Raw genomic sequence first — 20,486 nt, forward strand, 5'->3', positions numbered from 1 at the left:
GAAGTAGATGAATCCAGCAGCATCTGTGGCCCCACTCACAGAATAATGACACAATCACATCATGAAGTTGGAGCACATAATCACTAAACAGAGAAGAGGTATGTTACCTGTGTTGAAGCAAAGAGAGAGAGTACTGTGGTTGACAGCATGGTCTTTGCAGTAAGGCACTCTGGGTTTGAGTCTTCTTTACAACTAACTACCTATGTGACTGCAAATAATATAATCTCTTTAAACCTCAAGTTCCTCCTGAGAAACGAGAACATTGTAATATGAACTGTCCCATTGGTATGTTGTGGAGATGAAATGCACTAATATATAAAGAGTGCTTTATACAACACCAGCCATATAATAATCAAACAGTCGCTAAGACTGTTATTCTTAAGCATTGGATTTGCAATCTAGAGTGTAATATATCTTATCAATATTATATATTAATTACACTTTATTACACATTATTATACATGTTAATTAAAAATATATAAATTACTATTAATATGCATTTAAATGCAATATTCAGCTTATGGTAAGCATCTAATGAATGTTTGTCAAATTAAAATTTTCTGAAATTTAGGTAGCTTGGATGGAAAGCCTAGTGATTCCACTGGGAGGTCCTGCATGATGGCCCTGCTTTGAAACATGCATTATGCAAATCCTGGTATTAGTAGTGGGAGATTTTGGAAGTCAGAGTTTATGAGGTTCATCAGGAGTGGTTCTACACATCAGCAACTAGTGGTGTGGTCAGTGAAAGTCGAGGGGGAGGATGTCAGAAAAGAAAATCACCATGGTTACTCAGCAGAATTTCTAGGGCTCAGATCACTCTAGCCACTGGGTAAGATGTGATACATACAGACCACAGTTTCCGCAGGAAAATATAGACAAAGGGAGAGGAAGACAGAGAGAGGAAAGGAGAGAGAGAAGAGAGGAGGGACGGAGAACAAAAAAAAGGAAGAGAGGATTGATGTCCTTCCAGATTTGGAACCCAACAGAGAACCTTGAGGCTCTAGCCTTTATTATGTCAGCACCCTTTGGATAAGTTCTAATGAAAGCCACTCTCACAAGCCTTTTCATAAGTGTTACTTTCCTGGGCATAACACTTTAGATGCCAACAGTCTTTGTGTCCAGCTAATAGAAGATGAATTCCTTACTGTTGCTTCCCAATATATTGGCAAATAAGAGTGCAGAAACTCTGTCAGTCATAATCTTTTCATCCTTTTCATTGATGCTAAATTTAAAAAAAAAGAAAGAGAAGAAACAACAAACTCCTGAGATTAAATAATGATTTTCTAATTTTTATATCCCCTAGTTCTTATTTTATAGTATCAATATGGGTACTAGATGAAATAACTCCCAAGCAGCTTTCTCCAGAGAAATACAATTTTCCTGACCATCTCAGGAATATAATTGCCATGAGCAGCACTGGTAATCAACAATTACACAGAATATTGACTGTGTTCTTTCATCTCCCATCTTGGCCAAAATATGTAACCAATGGTGTATAAGTCACACTTTTCCTGACCTCTTTGTTTGACAGAAACCTCTGCAGTCAAGGATCTCACTGCAGTCCTGTCCACAGATGCCTGTGGGTTTCTTTGTTGTTATTGTTATTCTGCTTTGTTTAATTTTGTTTTGTTCCATCTTAACCCATTGAATACAAAGCAGGAAACCATGTAGGGCCCTGGCTCACTGCAGAGGCAAGGCTGCCCCCAGAAATATGTATGGCATCCAGATGTAGTGGCTCTCTTATGAAGCTCAATGCCTCCCCTAATTATCCCTTCAAACAGAACTTGGAGGAAGAGCAATGCCCTCTTGTGAATGCAAATGGAAACTGAGGCCCAGTGAGATTTAAAATTAATCGGAGGGAGCAGAGTTCAGAGAGAAGTTAGAAACCAGTCATTCTTCACACCTGTGTGTAGTCCTAGATACTTGAGAAGCTGAGGCAGGAAGACCGCAGAAGCCTAGGGGTTCAAGACCAGCCTGTACAACATGGCTAGACCCTTTCTCTAAAAAACAAAACAACCACAAAAAAAATGAGTCTTTCTTCACAGTAGCCCAAGTAATGTAAAAAGTATCAGATCAGTAGTATGTCCACTCAGTTACACTTTGGAACCCCAGAGAGCACAGTTATTGGGGTCCTGTAGCTGCGGGCTACAGGAGATTTTACCATTTTCATCATCACCATCTTCTCTCACCGAACTTGCTGAACTACAGCTATTTGTCCATTTATTTTATTTCCAGACTGTCCTGTGAACACTTCAACAGGAAAGATGGCATTCCTCACATCTATTCAACCAATAAGCACGAATCAAGGAACATAGTCCTTTCTCAATCACTGATTATTAAACAAATAACTTTGCCACATTTGTGCCAGAATATTTTATGCAAATGTTAAAAGTTTAGTAGAGATTTACAAATGATATATGTAAAAAAATGAAGTCAAAATTTTCCCCTAGCCATATGAGGCATTAATACTCACTTGGTGACATTGGAATTTGGTATGTCTGAGCAACTAAGAGTTCAATTCTAAATAGAAATAAGTAAGGATGCTTCTGGAAACCTGATATTACACACATGGGAAGGCAAATTTGAGGGTGTTGGTATCATCTGGCCAGAGATCCAATGGCAAGTAAAGCACACTAAGGGTTACAATCATGGTGTGAAACTTTCTCGAAGACCATATCTGACATCTACCTGACCTTGGGAAAATTACCAGGGTAACTCAGTGGAGAAAACCTAAGTCAGACTCCATAGCAACCTTTGAAGGAAAAATGTACACGGAGTAATATCTGGTACTCAACAAGAGTGGTTCGGCTCCATGTGAACCATGAGGAAAATAACTGGAGATAGCAGAGTTAGAGGCCAGAGTCCTCTTGGTCTTGCAGAAGATTCTATGTGAGCACTTTGCTTTTTTGTCCTTGGTGTAAATCAAGCTTGTCCAGCCCGCAGTCTGTGCCCTACATGTGGCCCAGGATGGCTTTGAATGTGGCCCAAAACAGATTTGTAAAGTTTCTTAAAACATAAAATTTTTTGCAATTATTTTCTCTCATCAGCTATCATTAGTATTAGTGTATTTTACGTGTGGCCCAAGACAGTTCTTCTTCCAATGTGGCCCAGGGAAGCCAAAAGATTGGACACCCTGGGTATAGATAATGCTTGTCCCAACTGGTATTGTTTGGAAATTTCAGAGTTTATCAGCTTCATCCTCTGCTTTAAAGACATCTGATTTGTCTGCACCTTTTCTTCTCTCTACTACCCTGCACTGAATTCAGCATGGTTGGTTTCCCTAGGCAAACACATTCTTAAATATCTTTGCCTAATTATCCTCCTTGTACTCTGAAAAAAGTCACCATGTGTGGTTTATGAATTGCAGAAATATTTTCTTTACCATGAACCCCTCTCTTGATCTGATTTTCTGGTCTGCTGTTTGTAAATATCAACCTACCACACAACTAGTTCCTATACAGACTTTGCAAATGTCTTTAATGTAAACACACACACACCACCAGGTTTTCCTTCTCCATCCAGCTTGTCTTCTACCTGAGTTTTCTGGTAAGCACCTCAAATTGCCCTCCAATTTGGGAATCCTATCAATCAGCCTGGGGTGGAACACATCCCCTCACTATGGCCAGCACAGGCTCCTCCTGGAAGGTCCATCTCATTTACCAGTCCACCATAGTGGGGAGTCACTCCAAACAGAGAGAGTTAGCAGAAGCACTGTGCTCGCCAGGGCCCTCCACTGTGCTTGACTTCATGTAGTGCTTCTCAGTTAAATTCCAGATTCTGTGCCTGCATCCCATGATTTGACACCACTCTTCTCAGTGTTAGCAACCATTCTCTGACTGCCCTGCCAGTCCCATTTTCCAGGCATTAAATCCTGAAATAAAGTCCCTTCCTCACTGGTTTAAAGTACTGAAATCTCAGGACCCCTCAGGACTAAAGTCTCTCAAGTTGCAACTGTTTATTCCCCCTTAAATATTTGAGAATAAGAGAATTTACATTTCATTGTTAGTTTAATCCTTTAAAAATAAGCCCTACAATGTATTCTCTCTTGACAACAAAGATCTACGTCCTTTTTGTTTTGTAAAGTCTATCTTCCCTTTTTCCCTTAGTTCTTTTATTCTTTTGTAATCTATAATTTACATCGCAAAATTTAGCAATTTCCTTCTGTGCTAGACATTAGTGCTATGCTCTAAATGATGCCTGTTTTCTTTCCTCCAGGCACATCATAAGATAACATTTTCCATACCCTCGGAGGTTTGTCTTGACTTTTCTTTGGCCAAGGTATGCATTTGCCTGGCTCCTCTCTCCCACTTTTGGAATCATAAGCACAGCATAGAAGCTTTGCTCAGACAATCTCCTGATTAAGTATGTTAAAAACAGAGCCACCCAACTCGTGGCTGACAAATAACATGAGTAAGGAATAAACGTTATTGGTTCTTTGTTTGTTTGTTTCTGAGATTTGGGAGTTATTTTTTACCTTTACATAAGCAAGTCCAACCTGGCTGTTATATTCTCAAAAACCACAGGCCATGTTGTCAATAGGATTATAGCACTTAAAACCAAGTACTTCCCTCTATTTGTTTGATATCTAATATGTATTTAAAAGATGGCTAGAGATATGTAGACAATAATTCATTTGTTCAATATAAATTGATTGAACACATCCCTGTTTTATCTTTTACTGTGAAAGTGATTCTTTGTTTGAGAGAAGGAAAATAATTGGATGATAGGAGTACTTATTGAATATAGTCAAGGTCATTTAGCTTAGATTAATTGGCCAAAATGCCATTCTGAGGAGAAAACGAGGTATTCCCAGGATGTCAAAACCACCTTTAAGTTTAATAAATGGCCAGTGGGATCAGTATGAGACAAAATCACTGAGATAACACTTATCTGTCTATCTGGTTTCTGTTTGTATATGTGCATGTACGTGTGTGTGTGTGTGTGTGTGTGTGTGTGTGTGTGTTTGTATTTCTCCTACATCATATATTATTTGTCTTAGAACCACCAAAAAAAAGATAGAAAAAAAGAAGTACCATGATATGCTTTGGCTCTGTGTTCCCACCGAAATCTCACCTTGAATTGTAATAATCCCCATGTGTCATGGGAGGGACCGGGTGGAAGGTAATTGAATTATGGGGGTGGGTTTTTCCTGTGCTGTTCTCATGATAGTGAATAAGTCTCATGAGATCTGATGTTTTGATAAAGGAAAGTTCTCCTGCACGTGCTCTCTCTTGCCTGCCACCATGTAAGATGAGACTTTGCTGTTCGTTCCTTCACCTTCCCCCATGATTGGGAGGCCTCCCCAGCCATATGGAAGTGTGAGTCCCTTAAATCTCTTTTCTTTATAAATTACCCAGTCTCAGGTATATCTTTATTAGGAACATGAGAATGGACTAATATATACTATGACAGACTAATGGGAGAAAAAAATGCTTAGTGAGTACACACTTAAGTAACAGTGCAAAATATACAATGCAAACACCTTGAGAAGAGCAAAATCATTCTGGAGGGAAGAACCATATGAAACTCATGGAATTGTTGAGACTAAAGATGAATCTTAATAATTCTGAAGGCAGGAGACATGGGAAAGCCTATTATTGCCTTCATGGAACCATGAACGTGTTAGAGGGAGTATGCGGAGATCATAACACACCTGGATATTAGCTTGCCACTCATTCATTCGACATATTTGCTGAAAACCCACATATAACCATGTTGGGAATTATAGTGGCAAGCCAGATATCTGCCACCCCAATTCTCATTGAGCTTTGTAGTCTAGCACATGGAAAACAGTAAACAAATGATTATTTAACTCGCAATTGTGTTGAGTGCTGTGGAGAAATACAGTGTTATTTAAGGGTAGAAACCAAAATGGTTTCACCTGGTCTGGGATGACAGGGTGAGGAAGGCTCTTCAAGAAGCAGTTTGGGAGGCATTTGCAACACTAGAGCTAAAACACAGAGCAAAAAGCTAAGAGGGCTATAAACAAGGTTAGGGAGGAAACAAGAACTCTGGAGGCCTCATTCTTCATAGTATACAAAGGAGGTTCTTGAGGAACCTACTTGCATTATTTTGTTTCCTTTGTCAACATTTCCCAGCATAAATGTCTGTATATGAGTGATGTTTGTTCATTTAAGGAAGAACTCATGGAACTATTTAAAGAGCTGCCTTAAGAAACATGACATTAAGAGGTAAAATAACCACCTATTTCTAATTTCTCTAACCTTCCCATTAATGTGGGCTCATAATCTATAAACTATAGTAGTATCTGAGCTAAGTCTTTATTTTATTTTATTTTATTTTATTTTTTTTTAATTTTTTTTTTTATTATACTCTAAGTTTTAGGGTACATGTGCACATTGTGCAGGTTAGTTACATATGTATACATGTGCCATGCTGGTGCGCTGCACCCACTAACGTGTCATCTAGCATTAGGTATATCTCCCAATGCTATCCCTCCCCCCTCCCCCGACCCCACCACAGTCCCCAGAGTGTGATATTCCCCTTCCTGTGTCCATGTGATCTCATTGTTCAATTCCCACCTATGAGTGAGAACATGCGGTGTTTGGTTTTTTGTTCTTGCGATAGTTTACTGAGAATGATGGTTTCCAATTTCATCCATGTCCCTACAAAGGACATGAACTCATCATATTTTATGGCTGCATAGTATTCCATGGTGTATATGTGCCACATTTTCTTAATCCAGTCTATCATTGTTGGACATTTGGGTTGGTTCCAAGTCTTTGCTATTGTGAATAGTGCCGCAATAAACATACGTGTGCATGTGTCTTTATAGCAGCATGATTTATAGTCCTTTGGGTATATACCCAGTAATGGGATGGCTGGGTCAAATGGTATTTCTAGTTCTAGATCCCTGAGGAATCGCCACACTGACTTCCACAATGGTTGAACTAGTTTACAGTCCCACCAACAGTGTAAAAGTGTTCCTATTTCTCCACATCCTCTCCAGCACCTGTTGTTTCCTGACTTTTTAATGATTGCCATTCTAACTGGTGTGAGATGATATCTCATAGTGGTTTTGATTTGCATTTCTCTGATGGCCAGTGATGATGAGCATTTCTTCATGTGTTTTTTGGCTGCATAAATGTCTTCTTTTGAGAAGTGTCTGTTCATGTCCTTTGCCCACTTTTTGATGGGGTTGTTTGTTTTTTTCTTGTAAATTTGTTTGAGTTCATTGTAGATTCTGGATATTAGCCCTTTGTCAGACGAGTAGGTTGTGAAAATTTTCTCCCATGTTGTAGGTTGCCTGTTCACTCTGATGGTAGTTTCTTTTGCTGTGCAGAAGCTCTTGAGTTTAATTAGATCCCATTTGTCAATTTTGGCTTTTGTTGCCATTGCTTTTGGTGTTTTAGACATGAAGTCCTTGCCCACGCCTATGTCCTGAATGGTAATGCCTAGGTTTTCTTCTAGGGTTTTTATGGTTTTAGGTCTAACGTTTAAATCTTTAATCCATCTTGAATTGATTTTTGTATAAGGTGTAAGGAAGGGATCCAGTTTCAGCTTTCTACATATGGCTAGCCAGTTTTCCCAGCACCATTTATTAAATAGGGAATCCTTTCCCCATTGCTTGTTTTTCTCAGGTTTGTCAAAGATCAGATAGTTGTAGATATGCGGCATTATTTCTGAGGGCTCTGTTCTGTTCCATTGATCTATATCTCTGTTTTGGTACCAGTACCATGCTGTTTTGGTTACTGTAGCCTTGTAGTATAGTTTGAAGTCAGGTAGTGTGATGCCTCCAGCTTTGTTCTTTTGGCTTAGGATTGACTTGGCGATGCGGGCTCTTTTTTGGTTCCATATGAACTTTAAAGTAGTTTTTTCCAATTCTGTGAAGAAAGTCATTGGTAGCTTGATGGGGATGGCATTGAATCTGTAAATTACCTTGGGCAGTATGGCCATTTTCACGATATTGATTCTTCCTACCCATGAGCATGGAATGTTCTTCCATTTGTTTGTATCCTCTTTTATTTCCTTGAGCAGTGGTTTGTAGTTCTCCTTGAAGAGGTCCTTCACATCCCTTGTAAGTTGAGAGCTAAGTCTTTTATTAGGCTGTATTGCCATCAAGTAGGGGTAACTTCCTTGAGGATTAATGTGTGAAAGCATATTTTTCTTTCTAAGATATTTACGTTTCATGAGGTAGGTGTGTGTGTGTGTGTGCATATATCACATACATGTGTTTGTACATTTTCTATGTGCAGGAAATGCCAACTTTACTTTTTCTAAAACTTTTACATGAAACAAAAGAGAATTATTGGCATTCACTCATTTGGAAATAAATTTATAGGGAATATATTTTGGTTGTTTCTCTTCATAATTATTTTTAAAATGTCATTGGAGCTACTTTTTAAAACAAAAATCAGGCCCCAGGATGGCATTTGCCAGCTTTCCTTTTGGGGGATAGGCCAATCCTACCTTTTCTTTGGAGGCTGTCACTCAAGGTAAGTGGAGCGATGTGTGGCTGGGAGCTGGGGAACGGTTGCCAAAAGCCTTGCATCATTGCTTCACCTCAATGGAACTTCTGTAAGGGAAGAATAGGACATTATTGAAATCTTTCTGAAATAAAAAGACAGCCTCCCTAAAAAGCACTGAAGTGGTCCCCCAAAATGTTTCAAAAGCATCTTGAGCAATATTGGCATGAAGGAAGCCATGTTTCTGCATACCAGTACTCTGGGGCCAGACTCGTAATGCCCTCAAATGAGAGCAGAGGCAGCTCCCGCAGCAGCTGTTGAGAGAGGTGACAGAAAGTGGGAAGACTGCACAATGGAAAGGAAGGAGAAATTCTCTAAGGAGACACTGAAGCAAAGATTCAAACAGTATGACTCAGCCAGTGGTTGGGCAAACCCACTGGCAGATGGGCCAGTAGTATACACAAGAATTAGGAATCATGTAAGGGCCTTGGGAGCAATGGTTTAAAGCCAACTTTTCCTTGGTGAAGCCTGAGAGAAATGAAGAAGTTCTGCTTTTTGTTGACCTGTGGTGGATAGAATAAATATAAGTAGGGAAGTTCTAGTGTGGGTAGTCTGTGCTCCAGTTTCCCTGTGAACATAGGGACATGTTATATGGCTTGAGTAGATCATCAGGTCTAAGATAAACTGTGTGATGCATTCTTTTTTTATTTTTTTCCATTTAGACTAAAAATATTTGCTTAACTCACAATATATCAAATATTAGGCTAGGCACTGAGGTACTATTTGTAAACAAGATAGCCTATGGTTTCTGACTTAGAGAATTTTTGGTTTGTTGGTGAAGACAAACACGATAATAAGTAGTCATAATACAATGTCATAAATGACACCAATAGGAAACTATAGGATGCATTGGAAGCACAGAGGAAACATATTTGGTGAGTGGGAAGGGATCAAGGCAATGTCTTCAGAAAATGTGGGCACTAAGCTGAATCCTGGCATCTGAGAGGAAATTACCTAAATGAAAAGTGCAATAGCAGCTGGTAAAAAAGAGGGCAAGCTTAAGGAAGTTTTCTTTCTAATCAGAAAGGAAAGAAACAGCATCTGAAAAAGTCTGATAGCAAGGGTTTGTTGCAATTCAGAGACAGGCAGGTTTATCATGGTTCTGGGTGTACAGTACTCAGTTAATGGTTTGTAGATATGAATTGTAATCTAGTCCTTGAAATGGTTTCTCTTGTTTGCTGAACTGCAAGCCACTTTGAGCTGGAACAGTAACAGGATTTGTGAATCTAGGAGGATGCTCTAAGTAGAATGTTCTCATGCTTTCATTATTTTCTTCTTCCTGTTTCCTCAGATTTTGGCTTCTGTTTTCATTCTTCCAAAACTTCCTATCTGCACGCACACACACACACACACACACACACACACACACACACACACACACACACACAGAGTCATCTATTTTTGTTCTTCACAATTCATTCTTTGTCATTCTCCAATTTTACCATATGAAAAAATGAATCCAGCAAAATGAGATTTCCTTTTGGTCACAATTCAAATCATGTTGGGATTATCTAATTATCCATTTTATAGAGTGCTGTGATCCAATTAACAACATTTAAAAATGTAATTTCAAAGAAAAATGGAAAAACATAAAATGGACTGAAAAGCATAAGTGTGGGTTTAAAAAAAAGCATCCTAATCTACTCATGGGTTTCTACAGTTAGTCTTATGTATGATGCACAATAAATAACGTGACAAGTTTCAAACAGCCACAAATTACCAAGGATTAATGAATGCTCACATAGGAATACATTTTTAGTAGAACCCTATTGTCCCAGGGTTTTGGTTTATTTTGACAATGTTTTGCCTCTCTTTGTTCATGGTGAAAATTTTTTTCCCTTTCCCTTTGGCAGGAGAGAGAGCATGTGGGGCTTTGCCAGAGAGGAACTTGGATGGCAATCACCTAAGAACTCCAAACTCAGTGCCAGGGCAGACTGGTGTCTATTTTGGTGGGTTTCCAAGTTCTGAACATTGGAATTTAAATGCAGATGGAGGCCACTCTGGACGTGTGTCCACGGTAGTTGGGGTATTGTTGGTTGTGAGCTGGTCTACACACAGATCACACACAGATCTCTTTGTGGTGCTGGAGAAGTTGGAATCAGCTCATAGGGGAGTCCCAATGTGGAAGACCCAGGAGTGCAGCAGGCTTTGCTTTTTAAGAAGTAACTCATTAAAAATGAAATTGGAAAGAGGTCTTTGATCTTGCTTGGAGCCCTAGACAATCAAAACCAAAAATGGAACTGGAATTCCATAGTCTGAAGGTTTGTGACCAAAATCTTAATTCAAAGCTGCACTTTATTTTTCCTTTCATTCAGTTCAGCACTTTTAAGATCAGAAATCAGTTATCTTTATGTCATGATAGGGTTTACATTAAGCTACTCGAGTCTCCAAAATTACAACATTAAATCAGTTACATAAAAACAAAAACTAATTCATTGACATTAGCTCTCTTTGTAATTGATGAAAAGAGGAAAGAAGTGAAGTTTGAAAAAAAACCCTCAAATTTACACCTAAGTTAAAGACTGCTAAAGTGTCTTTTTCTTTTACTGATTTTCTATTTAAATTGAGAAATTAAATTTGACTGTGTAATATTTCCACATACGTAAATTCCAGAAACTACTCATAAAATAAAAAGAGTTTTTCATCATTCAGGAAGATATTTCCTTGATGGGTTTGTGTTCATCAATAAACTATGCCTTGCTTCAAAATGTACAGGCACGTAGGGCTGCTTCTAGCATCTCAGCAGGCTCTTAGAGTGGATTCCATGAGGGCTGATAGGACAGTAGGGGTGAAAATACATACAGCAATATATCTATAAGCTACATGGCCTTGAGGGGATTGCCTAAACTCACCTGTCTTTCTTTAAATTGACTTCATTGAAAAATAGGGGTAAAAACAGTGCACCCTTTAGTGTGTTTTTTTAATGACTAAATGAAACAATATTTGCCAAGCATTTTTAATACAGTCTGCTGTTTCATAAATGATCAACAAACATGTATTGCTGCAATTATTTATATTTATTATTGTTGATTTTACACAGCAATGTCTTCCAGTAGTTGATAACTTTCTACTTTTAAAATAATTGGAAGAATGTAAGCTCTCAACTAGTCCACTAGTCCCGAAACAATAGATACCAGCTGGCAGAGATAATAGCTGTCTGGAAGAGAGAGATACATACCACATCAAAAAACAACAAAAAAAGTAAGTTGGATACATGCATGAAAAATGTCTAGCAAGATATAGAAAGGGAGCAAAAGGATGTTTGCTTTAATTTATAAAGATCAACATGAATAGAGATAGCATATCCTCCCTGAGATAGAATGTTGCATCCTTATGTAAAGAGAAAGTTGTATCCCTATGTAAAGAGAAAATTGTATTATCTGGCCTAAAATTCAAACTAATGGCCTCATTTTAAAAAATAAAACAAACAATAAAATCACACAAAAATTAAACCACATAGTCATAGTGATAAAATGGTACTTGTAATTCAACCCAAAATTAGATATTAAATAACACATTTTTTTTTTCTGCAGGAATAACACCATTTTTTTCCTCCTCTATCATCCCAGGGATGGCTCAAGTACTCAAAAGGCAGCACTAAAATAAGGCTATGTCTCTTCCTGAGAATACTCTGGACTTCATTCTCTGATTAAAGATCACAACTGCTTCTTCGTTGAGGAAATCATGTATTTCAAAGCCACCAATGAACAAGGTTTGCATTTGTGTTCATTTAAGAAAAGAAAAAAACCCTGAGCAAACCTTTCTCTGTGCATTAAGCCTTCTGACCTTTATTGAAATAACAAAACAGTTATTCAAAGGACACGAGGATGAATTAAAGGTAACTTTCTATTTGCTAACATTCAAGGAGGGAATAGCTTGCCTGACTTTCTCAGAGAACTGCTCTGAGAGAATGCATTCAGTCCTCTAAGGAAAGTGTTCAATTATGTTTTTTTTTTTAAGTTAAATGTCTGGATATCAAAAAGTTTGATATGTTAACAATGAAAAACTACATTAGCAAACTTAAGGCTGTCTTAAAGTAGCAGTACCAAAAAGTTTCTGGGGAAAACAATTTAGAATCTTGAGTTCTAGGCCTGTGTGCCTCTAAGTAGTAGTGTGGACTTAGGTAAACAGCTTAAGGGAATCAATGGATTTTGTTATTGGTGGTGGTGATGGTGATGCCTCATTTTGTTTTCCCTTCAGAATGTTATGCAAAATGTATAAGATTCTGGGAGGAAGGAACTTGGTAAATCCTATGAAGTCCTTTAACTAGAAGTCCTATGTATTCTTCTATTTTCTGTTCCCATTGCTATTACCTAGGTAACTGTAATAGTCTCTGAACTGACCTTCCCGCTGTAGTCAACCTCCTCATCAATCTATCTAATAATGTATTCATTCCAGATTTATCTTTATCATTTCTCTGTTTATAAGCCATGGGTTACTTATTATTGCTACCAAATTAAGTACAAAATTTGGTCCAATATGCAAAGAGCATAAAACATGGTGCCATTTCCATTTCTTTTGTGACTTTTTCTTTTTCTTCTACATAAAACTTATTTTCTAAAAATGGTTGGCTCTTTGCCACTATTTAAATACGTCTTACATTATTTTGCTTTTACATCTTTGATGGCTTGGGTCCCTCTTCCCTGGAGCTCTTATATGCTGCCCTACACAAAATACGAGCAATGTCCCCACACAAAACACATGTAAACACACATACATGTTTCAGATGAATCAACTTTGGCAAGGTGTCCAGGTTGAAAATGCACAGATTTTATTGTTTGGCAGGCATTTTTTTCTTCTTAGTGCTAAGCATTTAATTTTTAAGGGTAATTCCATTCCTACTGCTTTAATACTCTCTTAGGAATCTATTACATCTGTGATTTTGACATAAGACATTTAACCTTAAATCATTTTATTTTCTGTCCTTAGAATGACAATCCATGAATTACACAGTAAACAAATACTATATGTATGAGACCGATTCACTGTCACAAACCTGGAGAAGAAAACCCTTTTGAGGTTTAAAGCTGAGAGGGAGATAAAAACTTGGTTGTACTACTTCTGGGAAATGCTGAAGTTATCCACGTGATTTTCCAGTCACTGATTATTTTAGCAAAGTAACACAAACAGAGGAGGAGCTCTGGACTCTAGCTTCTCATTTCTAAAAGAACAGATGTAAGTTATCCCCTTGAAGCTTTTCCTAACTGTACAATTCTTTCATTCTAGAAACCCAAAGATCAAGTATTAGTTATCAACTATAAGAAATAGGATTCGTTTCTAAGACTACATATTAGTAGATCACAGACTTCATACTTACTCTTATTTTATTATTATTTAAAATTTTCTAAGACTTTAAAGAAGAATTAAATATGGCTTGGTGGAAATGATGAATTTTATCAATAAATCTAAATTCTAGTGATACATCTGCCACTTTGTTTATAAGCTTGGAGCACACTTTTATTCTATGTGTGTACATATTTCCATTTATAAAATGGGGTTATTGTAAAGCTAAATTGAGATTTTTATTAAATGTAGATGAATAGATTGATAAATAATGTGCTCTAATTGAATAAGTCATTCTTAGACTTTCTCCCCTTTACTAAAAATTATACGCTGTAATAATTTAAAAACTATTAGTAATTTTAAGACATATTATCTTACAGACCTATAGAAAACCAAAATAAACAAATACATGTTCCTCTGATACAAAAAAAAATCAATCATTGGCATTTTTATTTCTCTTTTTTGTGACTTTCTTGAATACGGTATAATTTTCTACTTTTCAGTAATGAAACACATATTGGAAGTTATCACTCAAATATCAGTACGAAGATGATGCCGGGCTATGCATCTTCATTCTCAAAATTCTTAGAGAGTTTTTGGTGTTGTCAGAATTGCTAAAATATATCATGTGTCTGTTATACAGAGGAGACTCCAAAATGGCCTGGGATATGTCACTTAACTGTAATAACACATGTCAGCCAAACAGTTTTCATAGATCATGATACTCCTAATAAGAATAAAGCACTAGAGCTAAAAAACAAAATCCCATTCATTTCTGTATTAAGGCTTTTGTGGCAAATTAAAGACTCGACTCAATCTAAATTCAAAAGAAAGGGACATTTCATAAAGATATGGGAAGTCACATAGAACTCAAGGATAAGAATTTGACTTGGCATTAAGAATAGCTAAACAGGTCTGGGCGCGGTGGCTCACGCCTGTAATCTCAGCACTTTGGGAGGCCGAGGCGGGCAGATCACGAGGTCAGGAGATCGAGACCATCCTGGCTAACACGGTGAAACCCCGCCTCTACTAAAAATACAAAAAATTAGCCGGGCGTGGTGGCGGGCGCCTGTAGTCCCAGCTACTAGGGAGGCTGAGGCAGGAGAATGGCGTGAACCCGGGAGGCGGAGCTTGCAGTGAGCCAAGATTGTGCCACTGCACTCCAGCTTTGGGTGAAAGAGCGAGACTCCGTCTCCAAAAAAAAAAAAAAAAAAAAAAAAAAAGAATAGCTAAACAAAGGGACTCAAATTCCAAACAGATTCTCAATCTTCCCTCATTCTTTTCTGCAGAATGATAGCTTATATTTCTTTAATCTAAGGAAGAGAAAAGTATGAAGTGGAGCCTCTACCTCTTTTTACAAACTTCCAGAAACTTTCTTGAGCTAAAGTTCAAATATTTTTGGCAGGTAATGGGATGTATTGGTCCAGCACTGATAACAGGTTATCCTACAATCAAGTATACTCTTTCCAGAAAGCTGAGTTAGGTAAGCACATGGCAACTTCTGGTGAAGCTACATGGATGGATACAGCAAAGAGATAATTTTAGCAGGAAAGGTTATACCTGTTACTAAAAAGCGCTTGTGAGACGCAGTTCTGATTTCTTTGTCTAAACATAGTTCTCTCTTTTGATATCTCATTGTTTTTATTTCTATAAACCAGACATATTGGTACCTAATTATACATTGCCTTATATTGCTCTTTATCACACAGATACATACTCTGTTTCTAAACCAAGTACAAATATTTTGGTGTAGAACCACATCCCGTTTCTGTTGCATGATTCAGAATGCCATGATGGTGCTAGTGTGGTCCTACCTATGTAGTAGCCACTTGAATAATTCTTTAAATTCAGTTGACTGTTTTGCATAAATAACAATAAGTATGTGTTTTATTTAAAATAAAAAAATGGCTTAAATGAGTTTATTTTCTGCATCTAGTTTTTGAACTTACAGATAGGTCAGTTTAGTCAGATCAATAGAACCAATCATTCATGTTGAAGCAAGTTCTAACTCTTTCAGTTATATTTATCTTTTCACTGAGCCACCTATATGTCTATAAAAAGAGGGAGAGAGGACAGGGGTTTTACATGGCTGCAGGTGAGAGATTGACAGCAGGAAGAAACTGAGTGATGTGGTTAGCCAAATGATATGATACTCCAGAGCCTCAAAGGAGATTACTAGTAAAGGTAAGGTAGACTAACTCTCATCATAAAATACCACCATCAGATTTTTAAAGTACTTATTTGCAATCCAGATAGGTTTTTGAAAAATTTTGACAAAGATATTTATTTAATGTAGAATTATTTGGACCAAAATTTTCTAAATAAAATATTATAATATTTTATAAAATAGTACCTCAATATATACATATTTGATTACTATAGTTGCTAAAATGTATGCACACTTTTAGTTAAAATGTAGAAATTGATGCAAAACAATATTTTATTAAGACTTTTCTTCATCAGTCAGAATACTTCGTTTTCCTCAGAATCACTTATAGACATTTCTACTTATTACTTTTAGCAAATACATTTCTCTGGCAGAGAGAAATATGTAAGTTATTAATTTTGCTAATTAATTAGTATTAGAGTCAGTGTTATTGTTGATTACAATCATTTTTGTGTCATTTTCCTAGGAAATCTTTGAATACTAAGCTGATACCAGCTACTTTATAAAATATTGTCTTCTATAAAGTATTCCATGTCTGTTTTTGTGAGTTACCTACAGCTATGTATTTAGTATTTAAAGAAAGATGTGCTTCTGATTTATTTACCTACTTCTAGCATGCTAATTTAAAAATTAAATTTTTCCTTTCTTCCCCAGGAATACTTTTTAATATGACTTCTACAGAGATGGTGATAAACATATTCTTTCCTAAGGGTCAGACATTGTTTTGGAAATTATTAAAATATTTATTATAACAATATAACTATTGCAGAAGGTCTTATATATTTCATCAAGTTTTATTTATTTTTATTTATTATTATTATTTTTCTTTTATCCTACTTCCTGTTTAATTGCAGAATTTCACCAAGTTTTATAAATGTTTTCCTGCAAATTATAGTCTTTACTTTTAAAAATAAATCATGGCTAATTTCTTTTTATGTGATGCTTTTTGTTAGGAAACAGATGAGTGGGACTTGGGAACTCAAGTCTAACCTACTTAAATCAGAGAGCATTAGCGCAAATATTCTTAAGTAAGCATTCATTGTCTAATCAAACGAAACTGGCTTACTCAATGTTCGGTAGCATGTCTTTTCAAATCCTGGCTCAGGCTCTTGACTAATATGGGCTGCTCACTCTGATCCCATTGGGGCTGCAGAAATCTCCTATTTCCTTTCATTTTCAGGTATGCAACTGCCTTTCTAAGCCATGACTACATTGCTAAATGAATCATTGATTTGGAAAATCTGAAGTGACCTTCAGCTTGTTCTCCAGCTCTTCCTCAACAGAAAAGAGAGGCAAAATCAGCAAAATATTGGAAAGAGGTAGTTTTTCTAAAGGTATTTGTGGCAGGTAGAAGATTGGAGGCCACTCAGCTATGTGTGTAAGTGTGTGCAGGGAGAAATTAGGTTCTATATTCAGAAGTGACATTCTTTGTATTTTCAGTGTGGCTCTAAAAACAGAGCCTTTTTCTTATAGTTCAGAGTCAGACACTGCCCTTGGCTTCTCAGCCATTCTAGTAAACTATTTGTTACTCAGAAAGCCTCAAATTCTTCATTGAATTTATTTGGACCAGTTTTTGTGCACTTACCTCGTTGGCATGGTAATAGTCTTTTGAATAACCAATACTGTGAACAATTATACAATTAAAAATTCTACTTCCATTATTATTCTTAACTTCTCCCTTTATATTTTGTTACAGTTATGAGGTATGTTTTATTAACTATTCTAGACATAGATCTAGCCCTGCATTTACTCAGCACTGCCTTGCTCCTTTTCATGAGGGGTGATCTAGTTAGACATATCAATATTCAATGAAATGTATAGATTACCCTGATAAAATGGCTCAATGAAGTTCATGTAAGGTCAATGGAAGATTGAGGCATCATATGCACTGAGCCACTAATTGGTCTCATACTAGTAGGATATAGCTATCCCCACCCCCTATATCTTGAGTCTCCTTCCTCTTAGGTGCTGAGCATTTCCAAAGGCTTCTCTAGCTGAAGCAGGTATAAGAAAATGAAGTGACATAAAGCATCAACCCTTAGGTATAAATGATTGGCAAGTCTCAACCTTGCTAAAACTGAGACTTTTCAATTAGCTATGCTTAAAAGTTTCTACTGAATTACTGAAGCCATAATTATGTATGTAATTCAAGTTTCCTTTGAGCTGACCTACAATGAAAGAAGTTACCTAAATGACCTCTTAGGTCCTTTTCTCTCTCCAGCAATCATGGATACTTTACGAATCTCATAAGGAGTACAGCTCATTTATTATTAACACCATTTTAGAATGAAGGAAGAAGAGGCTTAGAAAGGTTTAGTAGCAGAGAAGAGAGCAGCCTTCTGATTTGTGGGTTCCACATTCTGGATGCAGAAAACTTTCAGTCATTCTTATCTATTGTGAGGCTTGTACCAGTTTCTCCATAAACTTACAAAACCAAACCATTTTGACAAGCTTTGTTCCTGCCTCTGACTTCTTTCAGATAGTGGCTAACCATCTTCTCTTGATGAGTCATTTTTGCTCTTCCTCATTCCCTTCTTGATGTTCAAGTAGGTGAACGTGATGACTATAAAAGGCAAGCAATTAATATCTGGGGTTAGGCAGAGCTCTGTAAGCCAATCTCCAAGAATGTGCAAGCTCCTTTGTCCTTAACTGTAACCTTGGCACATGAAAAGCAACTTCCATTCCGTTTTACCAACATTTCGGTCAAAGATCAATTGCCATTGTAATTATATCATATATCACAGGATGGGGAATCAGTGAGAGGGCAGGCCCTTTAAACTAATACATATCATTAGCATTTAAAGAACATGAAAAACAAATTGAACATTAGTCCTCATGTAAGTCTTTTTTCTAGAGCAAATAATTTTCCAAATTAAAATGAATAAATTAATGAAATTGTCACATGTCTGAGAATAAACTAGGTTGGTAATGCCGTCAAGCTCTTAGCAAAGTTTAGCTCATTGTACTTCTCTGTCTGATCATTATAACATCTAATCAAGGGGAGCTTAAATACTTCAATGAGCTCTCAAAATAAATTTGATCTGAGCAGCTCAGGTCTCATGGATTCCTAGGGTTACTGACTGGGTGAAACATGTTTTTGTTTTAATCCCTGTCTCAGCTCAAAGAGGATTAATGCCCGTAATTCTGCTATCCCCATTTAATTGAGAAATGAAATTTGAAGAGGCACCTCCTGGAACACTCCACTTTGAAATATGACCCATCCACTGTCTATATAATAAATCTTCCTCTGCTCTCACACACTTATCCACATCCTTCCTATCCCAAAGAAGGAGGAAAGAAAGTTATTGTGTGTGTGTGTGTGTGTGTGTGTGTGTGTGTGTTTCTGTGCATCTAATCCAAAACACACAATGTTGTTGTTTTATTTTTCAATTTTGGAATTATCCTAATAAAGGCATTCTCTGGGAAGCTCAGACTGCATCTCAAACCTTTCTCTGACACTAGCATCCTCATTGGAACAAATAGCCCTTTCACTAAAAGCAATACAGTTATTGCATTCATGTTATATGATGGTAATTTTCACTTTTGCTTTCAATACAACATTAAAAGAAAAATTGTCTATAGGAAAGAAAGAGGCAATATACTATATCCTGGAACTAATTCTTTGGCATCTGTAAAAAAGGGGGCCATAATTCTGAATAGAGGCTCCTGTCCTAAAACAGACCCAATGCTAAGATCTAATAGAAAGGGCACAGAGAAGCATAAGGAAACTTAATGTCACTTTCACGTTTTTTGTACAAGTTGATGTGAGGATCTAAAGAGGCAATTTCTGTAAAATGCCTAGTAGAGGACCAGGCATATAGTAAGCCCTCAGCAAATGCTGGCTGTTATCATTATGTTTTATAAAGAATTTTTACATCTTCCTCCTAAGCCCTGAGGCTTCATAACGAAGCCTTATATATGACTCTCAATGGCTCAATGTCTTTCCTAACCTAATGTAGAAAGTGACATACCATTGCTTCCAACATAACCTATTGGTCACATGGACCAACATAAGACCAATGTGGGATGACCCTGTACATAAGGGTAAGAAGCAGGCATCACTTGGGGCCATCTCAAAGGAAGGTGACCACAACTGCCTAATGGCAGTTGAATCCTTTATCAAGCTACCCTCAGTAACACTTCAGCTTTCAAGGACCAGGTTTTTGTGACTATTGTGAACAGGATTTTAGTGAATGAAGATATATCCCAAAATAACATTTCACTTAAAAGTTGAATATCTGTTATCAATTTACAAATGCTTTTATGTTATATCTCACTTGAGCTTCAAAATAACCTTTTAAGACAGACAAGAGTAGAAACTACTCCAGTGATTTCATAGATAAGGAAACTGAAGATCAGAGAGACTTAATGATTAACCTAAGATTTAAACTAGATATCCTCCTAGCATTCTCATGGCACTTATTCTGCTAGCGTAGGCTGCCTTGTATATTTTTTAAATGACTATCTGTTTATGTGCTGGTCATGGGGTTTGCAGCAAATCACAAGTGTGTAATTTTTTTTTCTTAAAGGCATTTAATCTACTTTCTAAA

The 20,486-nt window shown here is 37.0% G+C and overlaps 2 long non-coding RNA genes across 2 annotated transcripts in view; one reads left to right on the forward strand and one right to left on the reverse strand.

Annotated features, from left to right (window-relative positions):
• The window catches only part of LINC01901 (long intergenic non-protein coding RNA 1901), an 84,572-nt gene that overhangs the window by 13,418 nt on the left and 50,668 nt on the right, over positions 1-20,486 (reverse strand). Inside the window, exon 3 of the long non-coding RNA NR_187474.1 lies at positions 8,431-8,536. This is a non-coding gene — a long non-coding RNA (long intergenic non-protein coding RNA 1901). The remainder of the gene's footprint in view (positions 1-8,430; positions 8,537-20,486) is intronic.
• LINC01902 (long intergenic non-protein coding RNA 1902) overlaps positions 1-20,486 on the forward strand; it is a 48,285-nt gene that overhangs the window by 12,005 nt on the left and 15,794 nt on the right. The window contains exons 2-6 of the long non-coding RNA NR_151703.1: positions 10,340-10,435; positions 11,527-11,687; positions 12,056-12,198; positions 15,175-15,252; positions 17,117-17,255. This is a non-coding gene — a long non-coding RNA (long intergenic non-protein coding RNA 1902). The remainder of the gene's footprint in view (positions 1-10,339; positions 10,436-11,526; positions 11,688-12,055; positions 12,199-15,174; positions 15,253-17,116; positions 17,256-20,486) is intronic.

Source organism: Homo sapiens, chromosome 18 (assembly GCF_000001405.40).
Source record: "Homo sapiens chromosome 18, GRCh38.p14 Primary Assembly".
In the NCBI taxonomy this organism is placed as follows: Eukaryota; Metazoa; Chordata; class Mammalia; order Primates; family Hominidae; genus Homo; species Homo sapiens.